We start from the raw sequence: 18343 nt of genomic DNA on the forward strand, positions 1-18343 counted from the left end.
ACCAATGGGGCTTCATCACCTGTGTGGATCCTTTGGATGGTGGCAGCCTCTTGAAGTCTTGCCTTGAGCATTGCGAGTTTGATTCCAGGCTCAGCTGGAAGGAGTTCTGGCATTGACTAGCTATGTCTGCCGTGGGTGAGGAATGGGAGTCGGGGTCCTTGCACTTTTACTTTTGTGCACCCTGTTCTAAGGCTTCCTGTGAGGTTTAAATGTGATGATGCATGTGAAAAGTCACACCTGGTTGGTACCAGTAAATTCTCATATTTTTCTCTTGGTTCATTTGAATGCAATTCATGATCAAGTTCAACTGCAATTGGAAACTGTTGACCAGGCCGTAGTAGGTGCTCACTAAGTGTTCTTGGAGTGTTGGCAGGATTTGAGGCCAATCCAGCTCTTTCTGGGCCCATGATGACTCCCGTCAGGGGCCCCTGCCCCCACACAGCTTAACGGAAATATCCAACCTGGCGCACAGAGCCCAAGCACAGAGAGGGAAAAGGCACCAAAACAGCAAAGGTATTAACGTGGTGTATTTACACCCCCAAGTGTCTCGCTGTCATCAGGAGCAGCCCCTTCATGAGATATAAGTAATTTGCGCGGCTGATCCCGGTTTTCTCATTAATATGCAAATGAGGCATGCCAGTTGTTAGGTTAGAAGAAAGCTGTCATGTTTATTGTGACAGATTTAATGGATGTGTTTGGATTGTGCATTCAATGTGTTTTCAAGAGCATGTCTTATCTTTGTTTAGGCAGTAAATCAAAAATGTAAACAACAATTCATTAGCATCTGTCAGAAGCTCAAAGCCACATTGTTTCACTTGACAATCTTCCCAGAGGTGGGGAAAAAACCCCCTATATCTGACTTAGTCAAGATTAGTTGGAAATCACACTGGCTTTTCCATCTTTTTGCTCACCAATGTGCAAGCAGTGACAGAAGAACAACTTCTCTGCTCGGAGAGCTGCAGGGGCCAAGGGGTCAAGAGTGGGGATCAGACGACGCCACCCAAACTCACCTGGCTGTGCCCACGGAAATTGCAAGCCTCAGAGCATGCCCCGGCAACTGGGGTGGAAAACAAAATCACAGGCACGTTGCCTCATTTCACCAAACATCTCAAGCAGCCCGCTAAAAGAAAACAATGGAACACAGACAGAAATTTAAAAATAAAAATACAATTAGGGGATATGGACAGAATAGCGTGATACGACTAAGGGGAGAAAATAATTCAGATCTGCAAATCTTGTTCTTCTATGTAGTTATTAAATTTGGCCTGCAGACTAGCTCTGAGCTTCCTGGGAGCCAAAGCAAAAAGCGAAGGCACATTAAGTTATAAAATTCACTTTTTTTTTTTGTTTTTTGAGACGGATTCTCACTCTGTCACCCAGGCTATAGTGCAGTGGCATGATCTGGGCTCAATGCAATCTCTGCCTCCTGGGTTCAAGTGATTCTCCTGCCTCAGACTCCCAAGTAGCTGGGATTACAGACATGAGCCACCACACCCGGCTAATTTTTGTAGTTTTAGCAGAGACGGGGTTTCGCCATGTTGGCCAGGCTGGTCTTGAATCCCTGACCTCAGGTGATCTGCTCACCTTGGCCTCCTAAAGTGCTAGGATTACAGGCGTGAGCCAACTTGCCCAGCCAAAATTCACTTTTTAAGTCGTAAAATTAACTCCATCAAATATAAAAAGGGCAGATTAGTATACTATTTAAAAGAAACAAATGGTATACTAATTTAGAACCAGTATACTGGATCTGAAAGCTTCATACCAAGTACACTGAATCATGCGGCCCAGAGCCCACACCCAGTTATGGAATTGCTTAGTCTCCTTTGGGATAAGATGAAGGATCTAATGTCGAAATACAACTCACACTTCACCTTTATTCTTCTTTCTTTCCTGGCTTCTTCTCCTCAGCATTGACACCTGTCCCTCAACTCTGGCTCCAGATCTTTCTTTTCCTTCCCAGGCAAGCTTCTGGGAAGACTTGTCTGTCCTCCCTGTCCTGGATTGTGTCTTCACATCCCATCTGATCTTCCTGCCACCATGGCTGGCTCCTGTCCCCACCTACCCTGAAGGCAGCTCTGGGCACCCTCATGTTTGCAGGGCCTGGACCTCCCTGCTGATGCTCCCTCTTCTGGCAGAGTTTTCTTTCTCTGACCTCCCGTTCTTGGTTTTCCTGTTCTCTAAGGGCGACTCTTCATTGCCCAGTCCTCTTCCCGGCCTTTGTGCCTCTTTCCTGGGACTGATTCTTGGTGGTGCCATTTGCACTCCAGCGTTTCCTGAGGGTTCACTGGTCAGCTCTTTGCTGAAAATCCAGATGGGTCTCTCTGGCTCAGTCCTCTCTTTTGAGTTTCAGCCCTGCATGACTAGGTGTTTCATGGGACCCCCTGAGCTGGTGTCACCCCCAACTTCAGCACCCAAGTGGGAGCCTGGGGGACCCCAGTCTCCTGTCCTGAGGCCCTGGCCTGTCTCCCATGGCCCTCTTCTGCAGCCCTTCACACTTCCCTCTGTCTGGGTTCTCACTACTCACCTGGCCTTGGGCAGCACCCAGGCCTGAGACCCCTCTGTTCCTTTTCTACCCTGGAGCTGGAGAGGTCTTCCCCAGATGCCCTCTGAGCAGGCCTCTTCTTACCCTGGAGCTGTGGCCCCTGTGGCCCTTGGGGGCTTCTGGGTCCTGTGTCCTGCTCTGTGAGCTCTGCAGCCACTCCTGTTGACTTTGTGCCTTAATGCAAATGATCCCTCTCCTTGGTCACCCGCTGGGGTTTGCACTGTTCTTGTTGACCTTTAGCCTATGCCTTCCTGGGAACCTCCCCTGGGTGGACTCCACCTGTTCCAGGATTGCAGCTTCATCAACTCTTCTCCCCTTGAGGGAGTGGACCTCCTTCTACATCCTTGACCGTGTCTGCTCTAAACCAGGGGCCCACTGCCTGCTTTTGTGCAGCCCACGAGCGAAGAGCAGTTTTTATAGATGAGCATTTGGAATCAATATGATGATAAAGAACCTTAACTTTGAACCTCAATTAGGCAAAATGCTATCCCTTTCAAAAGAGAGTTGATTCTTCTCAGTAGCAGACCTATGTTACAAGAATAAACCCATATTCATCGACAGAAATTTTCTGGAAATGTGTTTTTTCTCTTGTTATACCTGTCCTTACATAATGTCCTCAATTTGCCTCTTGGCTCCTAAAGCCTAACATATTTACTCTCAGGTTCCTTTATAGGACACGACTGCTGACCCCTGGCCTAAATGACATGTAAAGAATGTAAATATGTGCCACTTTACATCTTAAAACTCTTAGCTGGTGCCGCACATTCTAAGGACAAAATCCAAAGTCCTTAGTCGGGTTTAGGCCCCTGGTCCCCTATTCCAACCTCATCGCTCCTACAATCCGCCATTAGGAAACTCTTCCAGGACATCACATTGTCTGGGCTGCAGTGCCAGCGGCTCGTGGGTTTGGTGCAGGCAGTGACTGTGTCTGTTCCATTCCCTGTGGCCTCCCAGCTACCACGCACAGACAGAAACCACCAAATCTCTGTTGGGTGAATGAATGAATGAAGGCAGGCCTGGTAGCCAAGCAAGCAGGGTTCTGAGGCATTGGCCAATCTCTCAGGCACACTGTAGGCCCAGTTTCCTTCCACCTGTGGGTCACTGATTGGTGGCCAGGAGGTCTGAGTGTCAGTTCTCCAGTGGTGGCTGTTGCGATGACCACTCTCAGAAACAGCCTGAATTGCTTCTGGACTTGAAATACCATGAGCACCTAAAAGGAGAGGACCTAAGTTCCAACAAAAGCCCCTTGCACATTTTTGTAATTTGCCAAGGACATCCAGATCTACGGGGCCATTTCGTTCTTGTCACGTCCCTCTGGAAGCAGGCAGGACGGGCACATGAAGCCCAGCTGCAGAAGAGCAAACCAGAGCTCACAGGCTTTCAGCAGCATGCCCAGGGTGACCGGCTTGCCAGATTTGGGACCAGAACCCAGCTTCCTTGACTCTGGGCCAGCGCTCCTTCAATCCAATAGCCCTGCTGAAAGCCCCTCTTCCTTCTTCATCCCTCCTTATCTGCCTCTGCTATATTTCACCAGGGCTGCCGAACGCCGTTGGAGAAAAATCATCCCATGAAAACCAGGATTAGAAATGGGGTCAGGCCGGGTGCAGGGGCTTGCGCCTGCAATCCCAGCACTGTGGTAGGCCAAGGTGGGTGGACCGTTTGAGCCCAGGAGTTTGAGATCAGCCTGGGCACCATGGCAATAGCCCGTCTCTATAAAAAAATACAAAAGTCAGCTGGGCATGGTGGCACGCACCTGTAGTCCCAGCTACTTGGCAGGCTGAGGTGGGAGGATTGCTTGAGCCCCAGAGGTTGAGGCTGCAGTGAGCTGTAATTGCACCACTGCACTCCACCCTGGGCAACAGAGTGAGAACTTGAAAAAAAAAAGAAGAAAGAAAAAGACAGTGGCTCACGCCTGTAATCCCAGCACTTTGGGAGGCCGAAGCGGGTGGATCACGAGGTCAGGAGATCAAGACCACGGTGAAACCCCATCTCTACTAAAAATACAAAAAAAATAGCCGGGCGCAGTGGTGGGCACCTGTAGTCCCAGCTGCTTGGGAGGCTGAGGCAGGAGAATGGCGTGAACCTGGGAGGCAGAGCTTGCAGTGAGCCGAGATCGCACCACTGCACTCCAGCCTGGGCGACAGAGCAAGACTCCGTCTTAAAAAAAAAAAAAGAGAGAGAGAGAGAAAGGAAAAGAAAAGGAAAGGAAAGAAAAGAAAAGAAAAGAGAAAAGAAAAGAAAAGAAAAGAGAAAAGAAAAGAAAAGGAAAGGAAAGGCAGCCACAGGTGGTTTCCGGTCTGGCCAGTTTGTGATCCTTCTCTCCAGTGGCATCTTCCCAAACTGAGCTCACACAGCTTCCCTGAAGTGGCGAGAGAGGGACTTGCCCCCCACTTTCCAGAGAAAGTGGGGTCCACAGGCAGGGACCTCTCCAGCACTCTGACACCTTCCTCTCTAGCACCTTAACCAGTTTTTAGAGCATTTTCCAAAACTGCGATCCACAGAACACTTAGTCTCCAGCAACAGCTGCTAAGAAAACAGCATCTTTAGCCCGAGTTTGGATAACCCTGCAGCCCCTCAGCCCCTCCTAGATAGAAATGTGCACATTATCCAGCAAGAGGGAGCTGGATCTCAGTGTGACCTGGGCACACACATGGTCCCACCAGGTCCATGTACTTTGCTGTTGGAGTCAAAGTGGAGTAGAGGACTGGAAAGTGCTGGAAAACATTCGGATAGCTGACCACTGTTTCTCTCTGAATGTGACTGGCCTGAGATGACTTTGGTTCTGAGCACTTCTGCTATCATGAAGCTCATTTGGCTTTGTAACCTGGTGTTGCTTCTACTTGGTTGACAACTGAACACCAGTCAGTACCTCACAGGACCTCATAGACCAGCGTGGCAGATGCTGATGCGGAATCACTTCCCTTCCTCCCAGCCACAGCCTCCCCACCCTCGCTCCTCACCTCTTGGCGTCCCTGCACTTCTGCACAGACTGTTCCTCCCCTCGCTGGCTGCTCCTCCTTCGCACACAGTCATGCTTCCTCCTTGTCAGTGACCTTCTGTCCGTCCTGGGTGCCCCCTTTGCCTCCTGCTCACAGGAGAGCTTTTTGAAGGAATGGGCTACTCTTGCCACCTGTACTTCCTACTTTCCCCTTTTATCTCCAGCCCGCCACATCTGATTTTCACTCCTGTCAGTTCAGGCTGCTATAACCAAAATACCAGAGACTGGGAGGCTTAAACAACAGGCATTTAGTCCTCACAGTTCCAGAGGCCGCAAGTCCAAGATTAAGGTGCTGGTAGATCCCGTGTGTGTGGAAGGCCTGATTTCTGGTTCATGGACAACACCTTCTTCCTGCGTCCTTGCATGGCGGAGAGCAGGGGAGGAAGCAAGCCCCCTCGTGTTTCTTCCTGGAAGGATGTTCATCCATCCATGAGGGCTCTGCCTTCATCACCGAGTCACCTCCCCAAAGCCCCCTCTGCTAATACATTCACCTTGGGGTAAGCATTTGTCCTATATCAGGGGTTTTGTGACTGTCTCCCCTGGAGGCAGGGACCACACCTCTCCCCTTCATTGCAGGCCTGGTGCATGGTGGACTCCCAGTAAGTGGATGGCTGGGAGCTTGTAGCACCCACCCCTTCCTCTTCTAAACAATCCCTCCCTCAGCTCTGGCTGTCTAAGGTTTCCGGTTCTCAGTCTGGTGGGCGGAAGTGCAGGTGAGGCAGAGGTTGTCAGGTGGCCTCTGGGGAGCCAGGGTGGGGTTAGTCACTGGAGGAGGGGCTAGGAACTGGGGCAGACGGGGCAGGTAGAGCGCTCACTGAACAGGCTGCACGGCCGGGACGCAGTCTGCAAGGTTGCTGCATGTCCTGAGACCCTGAGCAGAGGCTGAATTTGCACGAAATGCCCTAAAGGCAAAGAGGTTCCATGGTGCTGCCTTCTCCCTGACTGCTCTCCGCTCGAGTCCATCCCTGTCCTCCCTGAGGGATTACAAAGCTATGCCATCTTGCGCCCTGGGCCTGGGGGTGGGCTGAAGGAGAAAAAGGTTAAGACCCTTCACTTTCAGCCCTCATCAAGATTTAAACCAAGAGCTAAAAGGGTGCGTGAACCTTCCAGCGCCACTTGAAATCCAGCTCCACATTTAGTGGGAATTAAAGTAATTGATGAACTTGTACTGGACACAGGATCACATAAATAAAGAGCTACAAGTTCTAAAAATAGCACTCAGGGCTTTTTAGTTTTTTAAATACGGTAAAGATCAACATGCAACACACCCCAAGAGGCTCCATGTCAAGCAATTAGGAAACTGGAGAGAACGGGAAAATGAAAATGTTTATTCAAAAATCAATATATTTATCCTAAAAGGGGTTAGTGAACCACACGAGTAAAGTCAGGTCCCACCACAGTCCCCAGAGTTGCTCTGGGGCAAGGTAGGCTCCAGGCAGTAAGAGGTTAAGATATGGATTTCAACTCTGAAGTTGAAGGAAGACCCCTGGGTGAGCTTTTCATTGTGTCGACTAAAAATGTTTTAAAAATCAATATAACAGTGTATAAAAGGATCTTCTAAAGCTTGAGTTAGTCCCATTCATAGCCAAGTGTGCCGCGGTAAGGAACGGATGAGGAGGATGTTTAATCCGCCCAGCCTTGCAGCTAATGAGGCGGGAGTATTTGGGTGATTGTTGATGCAGGTGGAAAAACTGTTTCTAAAGAGTACTGATTGGCCAGGCGCGGTGGCTCACGCCTGTAATCCTAGCACTTTGGGAGGCCGAGGTAGGTGGATCACGAGGTCAGAAGATCGAGACCATCCTGGCTAACACGGTGAAACCCCGTCTCTACTAAAAATACATAAAATTAGCTGGGCGTGGTGGCAGGCGCCTGTAGTCCCAGCTCCTCGGGAGGCTGAGGCAGGAGAATGGCGTGAACCCGGAAGGCGGAGGTTGCAGTGAGCCGAGATCGCACCACTGCACTCCAGCCTGGGTGACAGAGTGAGACTCCGTCTCAAAAAAAAAAAAAAAAAAAAAAAGAGTACTGATTGCTTCTGCAGGAACAGATCATAAAGACCTGGCCCTTTCCATCAGCTGAGATTTTGCCCAGAGACAGTAATTGCTTACTTTCCCTGGCCCCAAATGGGTCCGAATTGTAAATCATGCTGTAACATAATATCTAGGATAATAACAAAGATTCATTCAACAAACACTTGTCATACTCCTCTTGTAAGTCAGGGGCTGGGCTCTGTGCCACAGGGATGGATATACAGCTCGCGAGGCCAATGCTTTGCCGTCTGGAAGCACAGACTCTGATGTAGTGCCTGTCAAACTTTTAAACCAGAAATACGTACTACATTGGGATCCAGTATATTCGTGTACTTTTGGAAAAAAAATTTATGGAACAATATTCACTTTTACATTGCATGATGCATTTCCTTCCATCCCTCCCTCCCTCCCTTCTTTCCTTTCTTCCTTCCTTTGACAGTCTTGCTCTGTCACCCAGGCTGGAGAGAAGTGGCATGATCTTGGCTCATTACAATCTCCACCTCCCGGGTTCAAGCAATTCTCGTGCCTCAGCCTCCCCAGTAGTTGGGATTACAGGTGTGCACCACCACGCCTGGCTAATTTTGTTTTTTGTATTTTTAGTAGAGACAGCATTTTGCCATATTGCCCAGGCTGGTCTCGAACTCCTGAGCTCAGGCAATCTGCCCGCCTTAGCCTCCCAAAGTGCTAGGATTATAGGCGTGAGCCACTGCACCTGGCTACATTCTGATAGTTTCTATTCTAGCCTATTTTATTGAAAAAAGAAGTGCTGGTTGCAACCCTCAAAATTGATTTCATGACCCACTATGAATGGATAGTGAGGTGAAGTTAAAAAATTCCTATCTAGAGGGAGGGCAGACATGAAAAGTGATTCAAGAGAAAAGAGAGTGCCTCGTGAGGGAGTCAGGAGAGGGTGGGACCCTTCTGGCTGGGGGCAGCAAGAAGGGTCCCACGGAGGGGGTGGCATTCAAGCTAGGCCCTGAGTGGCAGAGAGATGCTTGTGATTTAGACAGACTGAGCTGGGAAGAGTAATGATGTTTGCAATAACATGGAAATTATGTTTTTATTATTCATATAATAAGCAGGGCTACGCTTTTCAAGGGACTTTCCCACCTCTAGGTTTATTGGATCATCCTAGCAAACATGTGATCCAGTTAGATTAGGTATTAGCCACATGTTATCAATGGAGGAACTGAGGATCAGAGAAGCAAAGGACTTTGCCCTAGGACACACAGCTCTTTGGCGTTGGCAGAGCCAGGTGTGAGCTCTGGTCTGCCTGGATCACAGCCCCTGTGTGGCCTCTGAAGCAGGAGGCACCACGCGGAGTCCCTGCTTCATGTCTGATGCCTGATGCCTGAGAGCAGGGTTTGAGAGCAAGGGGCTGGGGGCACTCATGGGCACAGCTCTTTCTCTCAGCTCCCTCACTTGCACAGGTCAGGGAATGAATTGATTTGCCTTTGAGTCACAACCAGACAAACCCTCTTCTGGGTTTCTCCATAGGAACACCTGAAATTGGCAGCCTTCAGCATCCCACCCAGACTCTTAGACAACTACTCCTCTTCCCTGGAAACTTCCCTTGCTCCCTGTGAACCTAGCCTTGCAGCCTGGAGGCCAGTTAAGCCACGTCTTGCTGTTCACCACGGACTGGATCTGTTCTCTCCCAACCAGCAGCCTGCTTCCCCAGCCTCATCTATTTGACTTCTTTCTCTCAAGGAACTTACAATTTAATCAGGAATCCCTAATAGTACATGCATTCTAAATTGCAATCATTTATTGCATCTAGCCTGGGGCTTTCTGTCTGTTAGAAATATCAGGGTTATTTCCTTCTTTTAAGAGTTTATGTTAAAAAAAAAACTTTACAAATAATGTTTGCTGTTTAATGTTCTCCCCTGAAATATCAATCTGCAAAAAATAGAAATCCTTTTTTACAATTCATTGCAAGGATATAGTTCCAGTTTCTTATAATGTAATGAATGTATGGCAGATAATGGTCCAATAGTGCAAACGAAAGGCGCATATAATCAAAATGATAATGGAGCGTATTGTACTGCTTGTATAATACAATCCATACCAATATGGAAATCATATCTCAAGGCAACATTCCTCTCTTTGATTTTTGTAATAATTGTACATGTAAGAGCAGAGCAGCGAGAAGTGGGGGGACAAAGGCCTTTATTGCTTCATTAGGCAGCTGGCGTTCTGATGGTCCGGCCTGTCGACAGTCGTTCCTTAATTTCCAAGGGAAGCTTCTCCTCTTTCTGCAGACATGATTTACTGTTCACGTCAGCTCCCTTTTCAGCCCTTTCTCTGTGAAGACTCACAATTAGATAAAATGAGCTTTGAGGGCCCTTTTGATCAGCACCTTCTGCCTGCTTGGCCAGTGATCTGGGTTTGGGTCAGACTGGAGCCAGGCTGCCGGAAGCTTGGGTGGGAAGGAAGAGAAGGCCTTGGTAGAGGCCTTTGAGAGCCTCGGGCTGCACAGCCTCCTTGGCCGGCTAGGCAAGGGGCATGTGAGGGAGTGGAAGAGCAACAGGCACAGGCCCTACCTGCACCGCCTTGCATTCTAGAAAGGTCAGCGCACACTCAAGGTGGGAAATGTCCACTCTGAAGTCGGGCCTCAAGTGGATCTTGGCTTATGTACCAACTAGAGTATGACCTTGGCCTTGACCTCTCTCAGCAGCAGCAACCAGAGATGTTGGCCAAGGTTGTAAAGTTGGGTGGCAGTGGTGAGGGGAGAGCCCAACTTCCTAAAGAGGTCAGTGTTTTCTCCCAGGTTCTGGGAATGGAAAGATGCTGGCAGAAAGCAAATCCCACACCAGAGGAGTAGATTGACAAGTAACCTGGAAGTTATTTTTTGGACTTTTTGGATCAGAGCAAACTTGGATCTTGCTCCTAAATGCTGTGTACCCAGCTACTTCTCCTGGCCCAGTGGGTCCTGGGGCCATGCCTTCTGGGAGTCTGGATGGGGCGGGGTGAGGTGCGGTAGCCCTGGCCCAGGGCGCCCCATCATTGTAAGGTGGAAGGGAAACTGCGGATGGTGGTCTGTAAGGGTCAGGGGTCAGGCGCTGAGCAAAGGCGGGGCAGGAATCCGGCGGCCCAGAACTGGAGGTGAGCCCTGGCAGGCCCAAGGGAGCCTTCGGCTTTTCTTGGGCGCCGGAGTCCGCAGCACAGGCTGGCTGAGGGCTGGTAAGGGAGCCGTGCTGATGGGGCAGAGTCCTGGGCACAGTCCTTTGTGGGCTTTGTCTTGGAGGCACTGCCACTTCTTGACGCTGGCCTGGGGACGCTGCCAGAGAGACCATGCTGTGTGACCCTCACTGCTGCTGAGGCCAGAGAGGGAGGTGATGTCCTGGGCTACCCCGGGAAATGGGGCAGAGAGGAAACTCAGCGGAAGCCAGGTCTCCATTTTAAGTTCTTTGGCGAGAAAGCATAACGTGCTGATGCCTCCCAGGTGTGTCTGCAGAGCAAACCCTGGGGGCAGCCCCAGCTCTCAGGAGGATGGCCCCGGGGGGCGGTGGGGGGTCCCACCTCCTCTTCTTGTCTCCACACCAACATCCACTCCAATCCACACATACCCTGTAGGCTCCTGTGGTTAAACTCACGTCCCTGAGGCCCAGACTCCCTGAGCTTAAATTGCAGTTCCACCATGTTCGACCTTTGTGGGCTTGGCCAAGGCCCTGGCCCTCTCGAAGCCACAGTGTTCTCTTGTGTACGACGGGGAATAACTGCAGCGAGGAAGTGGGAAGAGGACTGAGTGAGTTCAGCAGGGAGTGAACACCTGGCCGTATGCACGCTAAGGCCGTAGCCATCCGTCACCAGGTAGGGACAACAGGTTCACCTCCTGGGGGCAGGCCTTGACCTGCTCAGGACTCTGAGGTGTGTCTGCACTAACGGGCCTCAGGAAGGGGTCATCTTTCTTTCTCTCTCCAGGTCACCGCAAGCAGTGGGGTAACGTGCACAGGAAGGGGTAACGTGCACAGAAAGGTTACGTCCTGGGCAGTGGGAAGCAGTGGGGTAACGTGCACAGGAAGGGGTAACGTGCACAGGAAGGGGTAACGTGCACAGGAAGGTGACGTCCCGGGCAGTGGGAAGCAGTGGGGTGACGTGCACAGGAAGGGGTAACGTGCACAGGAAGGTGACGTCGCGGGCAGTGGGAAGCAGTGGGGTGACGTGCACAGGAAGGGGTAACGTGCACAGGAAGGTGACGTCGCGGGCAGTGGGAAGCAGTGGGGTAACGTGCACAGGAAGGGGTAACGTGCACAGGAAGGTGACGTCCCGGGCAGTGGGAAGCAGTGGGGTGACGTGCACAGGAAGGGGTAACGTGCACAGGAAGGTGACGTCGCGGGCAGTGGGAAGCAGTGGGGTGACGTGCACAGGAAGGGGTAACGTGCACAGGAAGGTGACGTCGCGGGCAGTGGGAAGCAGTGGGGTGACGTGCACAGGAAGGGGTAACGTGCACAGGAAGGTGACGTCCCGGGCAGTGGGAAGCAGTGGGGTAACGTGCACAGGAAGGGGTAACGTGCACAGGAAAGTGACGTCGCGGGCAGTGGGAAACAGTGGGGTAACGTGCACAGGAAGGGGTAACGTGCACAGGAAGGGGTAACGTGCACAGGAAGGTGTCATCGCGGGCAGTGGGAAGCAGTGGGGTAACGTGCACAGGAAGGTGACGTCGCGGGCAGTGGGAAGCAGTGGGGTAACGTGCACAGGAAGGGGTAACGTGCACAGGAAGGGGTAACGTGCACAGGAAGGTGTCATCGCGGGCAGTGGGAAGCAGTGGGGTAACGTGCACAGGAAGGTGACGTCGCGGGCAGTGGGAAGCAGTGGGGAGTCAGGGGAGGCATGGGTGTCTCCTCAGTGCCCGCTACCTGCAGGCACAGGGTAGTGGATGCTGGGAGGTGCTGCCCAGAGACCCTTAACAGCAAGCCAGGGAAATTGCCAGCTGAGGCTCCCAGCTCACTCCTGTCTGAAAATTTCCCAGGACTCCCCAGCTGTAGCTGCACCCAATGACTGGGCCATAAGTGGAGAGGCAGAAAGACCTCAGTTTGGCTGAAGGATCATCAGAGCCCCAGACCTTCACAGGGGCTCATCTGAGACCATTGTAGCAATTTTATCACTGTTCAGGTTCCTCTACAGTCCAACCCCCAGCTCATATAGGCACCGACCCCCGAGGGCACTCCAAGTAAGCCTCCTGCCTGCAAATCTCAGAGTCTCCCAGTCTGTTTCATGGGACTCACCCTATGACAGTGTTCCAAGCACTTTATTTCCTTGAACTTACTTATTTTATTGAAGTCTCACAACAAATCTATGAAATCAGTGCTGTTGTAATTCCCATTTGCAAAATAAGAAACTAGGGGAACAGAGAGATTTGGTAACTTACCTAAGGTCAAACAGCTAGTAAATGGCTGCATTTTTTTCCCCCCAGCAAACTGTACAATAACAGTAAAACAGCCCAGGAGTGACCCACTGCAGTGTTTCCTAAGGTGTTCTGAGGAATCCTTGCGTCAGAATCACCTGGGCTGCTTGTTGCATGGCAGATTTCCAGACCCTGATTGAATCGGTATCTCTGGGATTGGGACCCAGGAATCTGAATATGTAACAAGCTTTCCGTGCAAACTAATGCGGGAACCACTGAGCTCTGGGGAGAAGCATCAGATACTGGAAATCTGGCAGGGACAATAGGGATTGTCAAATGCTTTCGGCTGCAATTGAAATGAGGCTCCAAAAGGCAGGCAGGTGGTCTCATCCAAATTCATGGAGGCATCAAAGGGAGATGAGTCTGGACTTGAACTTTCCCAACTCCTAAATCAGTTGACTGTCTTCCACACAGCATGGACACTTCTTACCTGCTGCTGTTGGCTCAAAGCACATGTGGACAGGATGACAAGTGAGACTCTGAACACCATTTTTCAGATTTTAAAAAATTGCATGAAGTCTTAAAAAATTTACAAAACCTAACATTTGACCATTTTAATCATTTTAAAGCGTGTGGTTCAGTAGTACTAAGTGTATTCGCAGCAACCATCACCATCATCCATCTCCAGAACCCTTTTCATCTTGCAAAGCGGAAACTCTGTCCCCATTAAACCCTCACTTCTCATTCCCTCCTGCTCCCAGCCCAGCCAATCACCATTCTATGTCCTGTCTTTATGAATTTGACTGCTCTAGAGACCTCATATAAATGGAATCATGCAGTATTTGTCCTTTTGTAATGGGCTTATTCCACTTAGTATAATGCCCTCCAGGTTCATCCATGTTGTAGCATGTGCTAGAATTTCCTCCCTTTTTATGGCTGAATACTATTCTACTGTATGTATGTACCTCATTTTCTTTATCCATTCATCCACATGTGGATGTCTGGGTTGTTTCCATCTTTAGGCTATTGTGAATAATACTGCTGTGAACATGGGTGTACAAATGCCTCTTCAAGACTGTTTTCAGTTTCCTTGAGTCTATAGCCAGAAGTGGAGTTGCTGGATCATATGGTAATTCCATGTTTATTTTTTTTGAGGAACTGCCATTCTGATTTCCACAGCAGCTGTTCCATTTTACATTCGCATCAACAATGCACATGGGTTCCAGTTTCTCCACATCCTTCTCAACACTGGCTGTTTTCTTTCTCTTTTTCTTCTTTTTAAATAACAGCCATCCTCATGGGTGTGAGGTCTAATCGTGGTCACTTTAGTTATTTTATTTTTAAAAATGTTTTTTGAGACAGGGTCTCACTCTGTTGCTCAGCCTGGAGTGCAGTGGCATGATCTCAGCTCACTGCAACTTCTGCCTCCTGGGTTCAAGCGATTCTCCTGCCTCAACCTCCTGGGTAGCTGGGATTACAGGTGCCTGCCACCATGCCCAGCTAATTTTTGTATTTTTAGTAGAGACGGGTTTTCACCATGTTGGCCAGGGTGGTCTCAAACTCCTGACCTCAGGCGATCCACCCACCTCGGCCTCCCAAATACAGGTGTGAGCCACCATGCCTGGCCCCCTTTAGTTATTTCAAAGCATGTTCTTGGAGCCCATTTTCCCTGCAGGCTGCTCCTAGACATCCCAGCCATAGCTGCCAGGCTGCCGGAGCCCATGTGGACAGAAGGCGCTCCACCCTCTCACCGTGCTGTGGTAGACGTTACATCTTACTATGAAGCAAAGGGAGGCAGAGGGTGCTGATGGGCAGCAGTCACCAGGATCGCAGCCCCAGCTCTGTCACTAAAGAGTGCAGGTTTTGAATGGGTCACTGACTGTTGGAGTGGCAGGGTCCTCCTGCCCATAGATAAAATGGCGTTTCTGCTGGTTACTGCATCATGCAAGAACAGCCGGGTGGTTGCTCACCAAACCTGAAGGGTGTGTTTGGGTTGGTCTGACTTAGCATATAAGCCATGTAGCTGATACAAAACTTACTTTGGGAGACCATGGGAAACCCCCGTGCAATGACCGGGCATTCAGCCTCTGAAGGAGCTGAAGCCAGGGTTGCAGAGGTCCCTGTAACTGCTGCTAGGGAGAGGCCTATTAATATTAAGATGCTGTGGCCAGAGAATGGAGCCTTCAGATATAAGCCTTGAATCAAATGCATAGGATAGAACCCCACATGGCAGAGCGGCTGCTTCAGAGTTGCTGAGCCCTTCCGGGCAGGGGCCTCATGGGGAGGCTGTCGAGTGGGGTGGATTTCCCAGGGCAGCTCCTCCACCAGGCTGGGTGGGTCAGCCAGTCTGGAATTCAAGCAATTGGGATCCACTAGCCCAGGGCTTCTCAAGCTGGAATGTGGACATGAATCACCATGGATCTGGTTACGTTGCAGATTCTGACTCAGCAGGTCTGAGGCGGGGCCTGACATTCTGCACGGCTGGCCTGCTCCGGGCGCTGCTGATGCTGCTGGTTCCTGGACCACCCTTGAGACCCTGGATGACCTCTGAGGTGCTGCCTCCTTGCAAAAACCCTCAGCTCTTGGGACCTCTCCCTGCGCTTCCGAAGCCCTTTCAGATATTTTCCTGTAGCCCTCACAAAGAGCTTGGGGTTGCGGTTTCTGCCGCTGTTGACTCTCACGTGGGTAAGGCCATTTTCATTTAATTTTTTGAAGCTTTTCTAGAGCCCAAGCTCCCTAAGGATGGGGAATTCATCTCACCCAACACTTGGCATCCCCTAGAGAACCTAGTCCAGTGCTGTGCTGTCTTCTCAATACTGTTTGTTAGAGGAATAATAATAACAGCCCTCATATGTGTGAACACTTCACAGTTCACAGGCACTTTCATATGCTTAATTCATTACTTGCCATTTCTCTTCCGATGAAACCAGCAGTTCCTCTTGGCTTACGTGCTAGGCGTGAATTTCCTCGTTTTTATCCTCACAACAATCCTGTGAATTACACAGGGCAGGTATTAGCCTGCCTGCCAAGAAGGGGACACTATTGTTTGTAGAAACATTAAGCATGCTGCCCAAGGTGTCCTAGGGGACAATGGCAAGCCTGGGATCTGTTTCCAGGTTGCTGCTGCCATCTCCCTAGAAGAGAGTTGGGACCACCAGCAGGAGTAGGGACTTGGGCTCCAGATGGTGTCCGCTTCTTCTCACTGGGCCATTCCAGTGGTGGCTGGCCAGTGTTTCTGGTGCCAGCCCTGTGGGCCTCCCTGCCTGCATCCTACCTGGGCCAATGCCCCATGGCGCAGGTGACCTCCACATGGCTTCTTTTCTATCCTTTGCATTGAAGGCCCTTGCACTGCAGGATAACAGCTCAGAGGACTGGATTTCTGGTCCTAGCTCTGTTACTTCTGACCATGGAGCCATAGACCAGGCACCAACTGAGTTTTGGTTTCCTCTTCTGTAAAATTTGGATGATGCTGTATGCCCAGCTGGGCCTCTGGGCTTCATGAGCCCACACCAATAGCGCTCTGTGGAAATGCTTTGTGCATGCAAAGAGACGTACATGCTACTTCTTCATCAAGCGTGTACACTGTAAAACAGAAAGGCTTTTTTATTTTCAAAGTTTGGGTATTTACACAGAGGCCCTTGCATATGCGTGATCATTTCAGTGGCTCATTTGTTTGTCTTGCTGTGTATAATAGTAAGACACAAGCCCCTCCTGAAGCCATCGGCAGTCTCCTCACTGCTTTGAAAGTTGATTTCCTTTGTCATCCTTACTTCCTAAGGGTTAGCCTGAGTCATCCAGCATCAGGATGCCAGCTTTGCGTTAGAAGTTAATTATTCTTCTTTATCATATTGAGGACACTTAATTTTTTTAGTGATTTACTCTGCTTTGTAATTATAGATGTGGTGATTAGAATGTCTTATATTTGACATTACAGATTTTTAAAAACATGATTTATTCCCACCACTGATTTAAAACTCTTCCTTTGTAAGTTTTTATTCCTGCTTGTGTGACAGTGTTTAGGGACTCCGGCCGGGCCTGGTGCCTCTGCAGGGGCTATTAGAGGCGCTGTGTACATATATAATTAAGGAATTTCAAAACACAAATGACTGCCTTTGGGGCCAATAGCCACTGCAGTTTCCATCTATCATGTCAGCCCTGGAGATGGTTGTGTATTTGGTAAAGTAAATTAACATACAACAACTTTGCTTAAAATAATGTTCAAATTTAAGATGTAGCAAGAAGCAGGAAAAACAAACAATAAAGGGATCCAGGGAGAGCGAAAATCACATATTTAAATGCGAACAAAATCTTTGCCTGGTGCCTTTATCACCTGTGGGTTACAGCATAAAGCCACCTGAAGACCCGGATTCCTTCTTCACCTCCTTTTGTTTTCTGGCCAAACTTTCTGTTCGATTTGCACCATCTCTGAGCAGACCTTGGGTTTGGAAGGGACCTTTGGAGCCTCATCTTTGTCACGTATTTTGTCCTTTGAAAATGTATTATAGAGATAATGGAACATCATTTCAGAGTTTCGGAAATGGGAGAGAAATCTCCCAGCAGCCCAGCAGTTGAAGAGGAGCTGCCTCAAATACCAGCCCAACGGGAGGCCTGTCTCTGGCTTTTATGTTCAAGCTGGGACTCTTGGCCTCAGAAGCCTGCTTCTGGTCTTGAAAGTTGGTCCCTTCCCAGCATTATAGCATTAAAAAAATTTTTTTTTTGCCACCAATAAAACCATGTTCGGGGCTAATACTCATGCTTTAAAAAAATTGCAATTGTTCTTTGGAGCCCAGTTAACAGAAGCAAATTTCTTTAAAACAGATGTTGTGTTTGTGGTCTGATGCTGATGTGGATGAGGCTATTTGGAAGGGTGTAGAAGTTTTCCCATCTCACTCAGAAGGAAATGAGATGATGGTTCTTCATACACAAAAGCCAAAAATCAACTGTTATTATACTACCCAGCAATAACCGCAGCTAGTGTTTTGGTGTGTATCTTCTTAGAACTGCTTCTAGGTGAATTTGTACATCAAGATTAATCTTTTTAAAAAATATAAGCTGGATATACTAATTTTTAGCCTTTTTTCTCTCTTACTGTACTTTGAACACTTTATACCACTTTTTCCAAGTTAGTGAATATTTTAGCTTTTTTTTTTTTTTTTTTTTTGAGATGGAGTCTTGCTCTGTCACCCAGGCTGGAATGCAGTGGTGCGATCTCGGCTCACTGCAACCTCAGCCTGCCAGGTTCAAGCAATTCTCCTTCTTCAGCCTCCTGAGTAGCTGAGATTACAGAAACCCAGCACCAAGCCCGTCTAATTTTTGTATTTTTAGTAGAGATAGGGTTTCACCATGTTGGCCAGGCTGGTTTCGAACTTCTGACCTCAAGTGATCCGCCCACCTCGGCCTCCCAAAGTGCTGGGATTCCAGGCATGAAC

General features: G+C 49.4%; 1 long non-coding RNA gene across 2 annotated transcripts, besides 4 other annotated features; it reads left to right on the top strand.

Annotated features, from left to right (window-relative positions):
- Positions 363 to 1044: an enhancer, noted in NCBI's record as "VISTA enhancer hs330". NCBI's record gives its function as "enhancer in: hindbrain (rhombencephalon)[5/5]" and the evidence as "EXISTENCE:transgenic organism evidence [ECO:0001131][PMID:17130149]".
- Positions 11018 to 12217: an enhancer, noted in NCBI's record as "BRD4-independent group 4 enhancer chr10:126915977-126917176 (GRCh37/hg19 assembly coordinates)". NCBI's record gives its function as "activates an origin of replication core promoter dependent on BRD2, P300/CBP, MED14 and CDK7 cofactors, and independent of BRD4, by STARR-seq in HCT116 cells {active_cell/tissue: HCT116}" and the evidence as "EXISTENCE:reporter gene assay evidence [ECO:0000049][PMID:35650434]".
- LOC105378541 (uncharacterized) lies at positions 12127 to 17646 on the top strand. Of its 2 annotated transcripts, XR_946434.3 has the most exons (4): positions 12127 to 12356; positions 13937 to 14043; positions 15351 to 15599; positions 17420 to 17646. It is a non-coding gene; the product is annotated as an uncharacterized LOC105378541 (long non-coding RNA). The 2 variants fall into 2 exon arrangements; XR_007062330.1 differs by having other exon boundaries at positions 15351 to 17646.
- Positions 13056 to 13570: an enhancer, noted in NCBI's record as "NANOG hESC enhancer chr10:126918015-126918529 (GRCh37/hg19 assembly coordinates)". NCBI's record gives its function as "activates a minimal SCP1, AML or CMV promoter by ChIP-STARR-seq in primed H9 embryonic stem cells {active_cell/tissue: H9 hESC(primed)}" and the evidence as "EXISTENCE:reporter gene assay evidence [ECO:0000049][PMID:30033119]".
- Positions 14675 to 15874: an enhancer, noted in NCBI's record as "MED14-independent group 3 enhancer chr10:126919634-126920833 (GRCh37/hg19 assembly coordinates)". NCBI's record gives its function as "activates an origin of replication core promoter dependent on BRD2, BRD4, P300/CBP and CDK7 cofactors, and independent of MED14, by STARR-seq in HCT116 cells {active_cell/tissue: HCT116}" and the evidence as "EXISTENCE:reporter gene assay evidence [ECO:0000049][PMID:35650434]".
- Positions 17647 to 18343: the final 697 nt, after the last annotated feature.

The sequence above is a fragment of the Homo sapiens genome, chromosome 10 (assembly GCF_000001405.40).
Source record: "Homo sapiens chromosome 10, GRCh38.p14 Primary Assembly".
Lineage (NCBI taxonomy): Eukaryota > Metazoa > Chordata > Mammalia > Primates > Hominidae > Homo > Homo sapiens.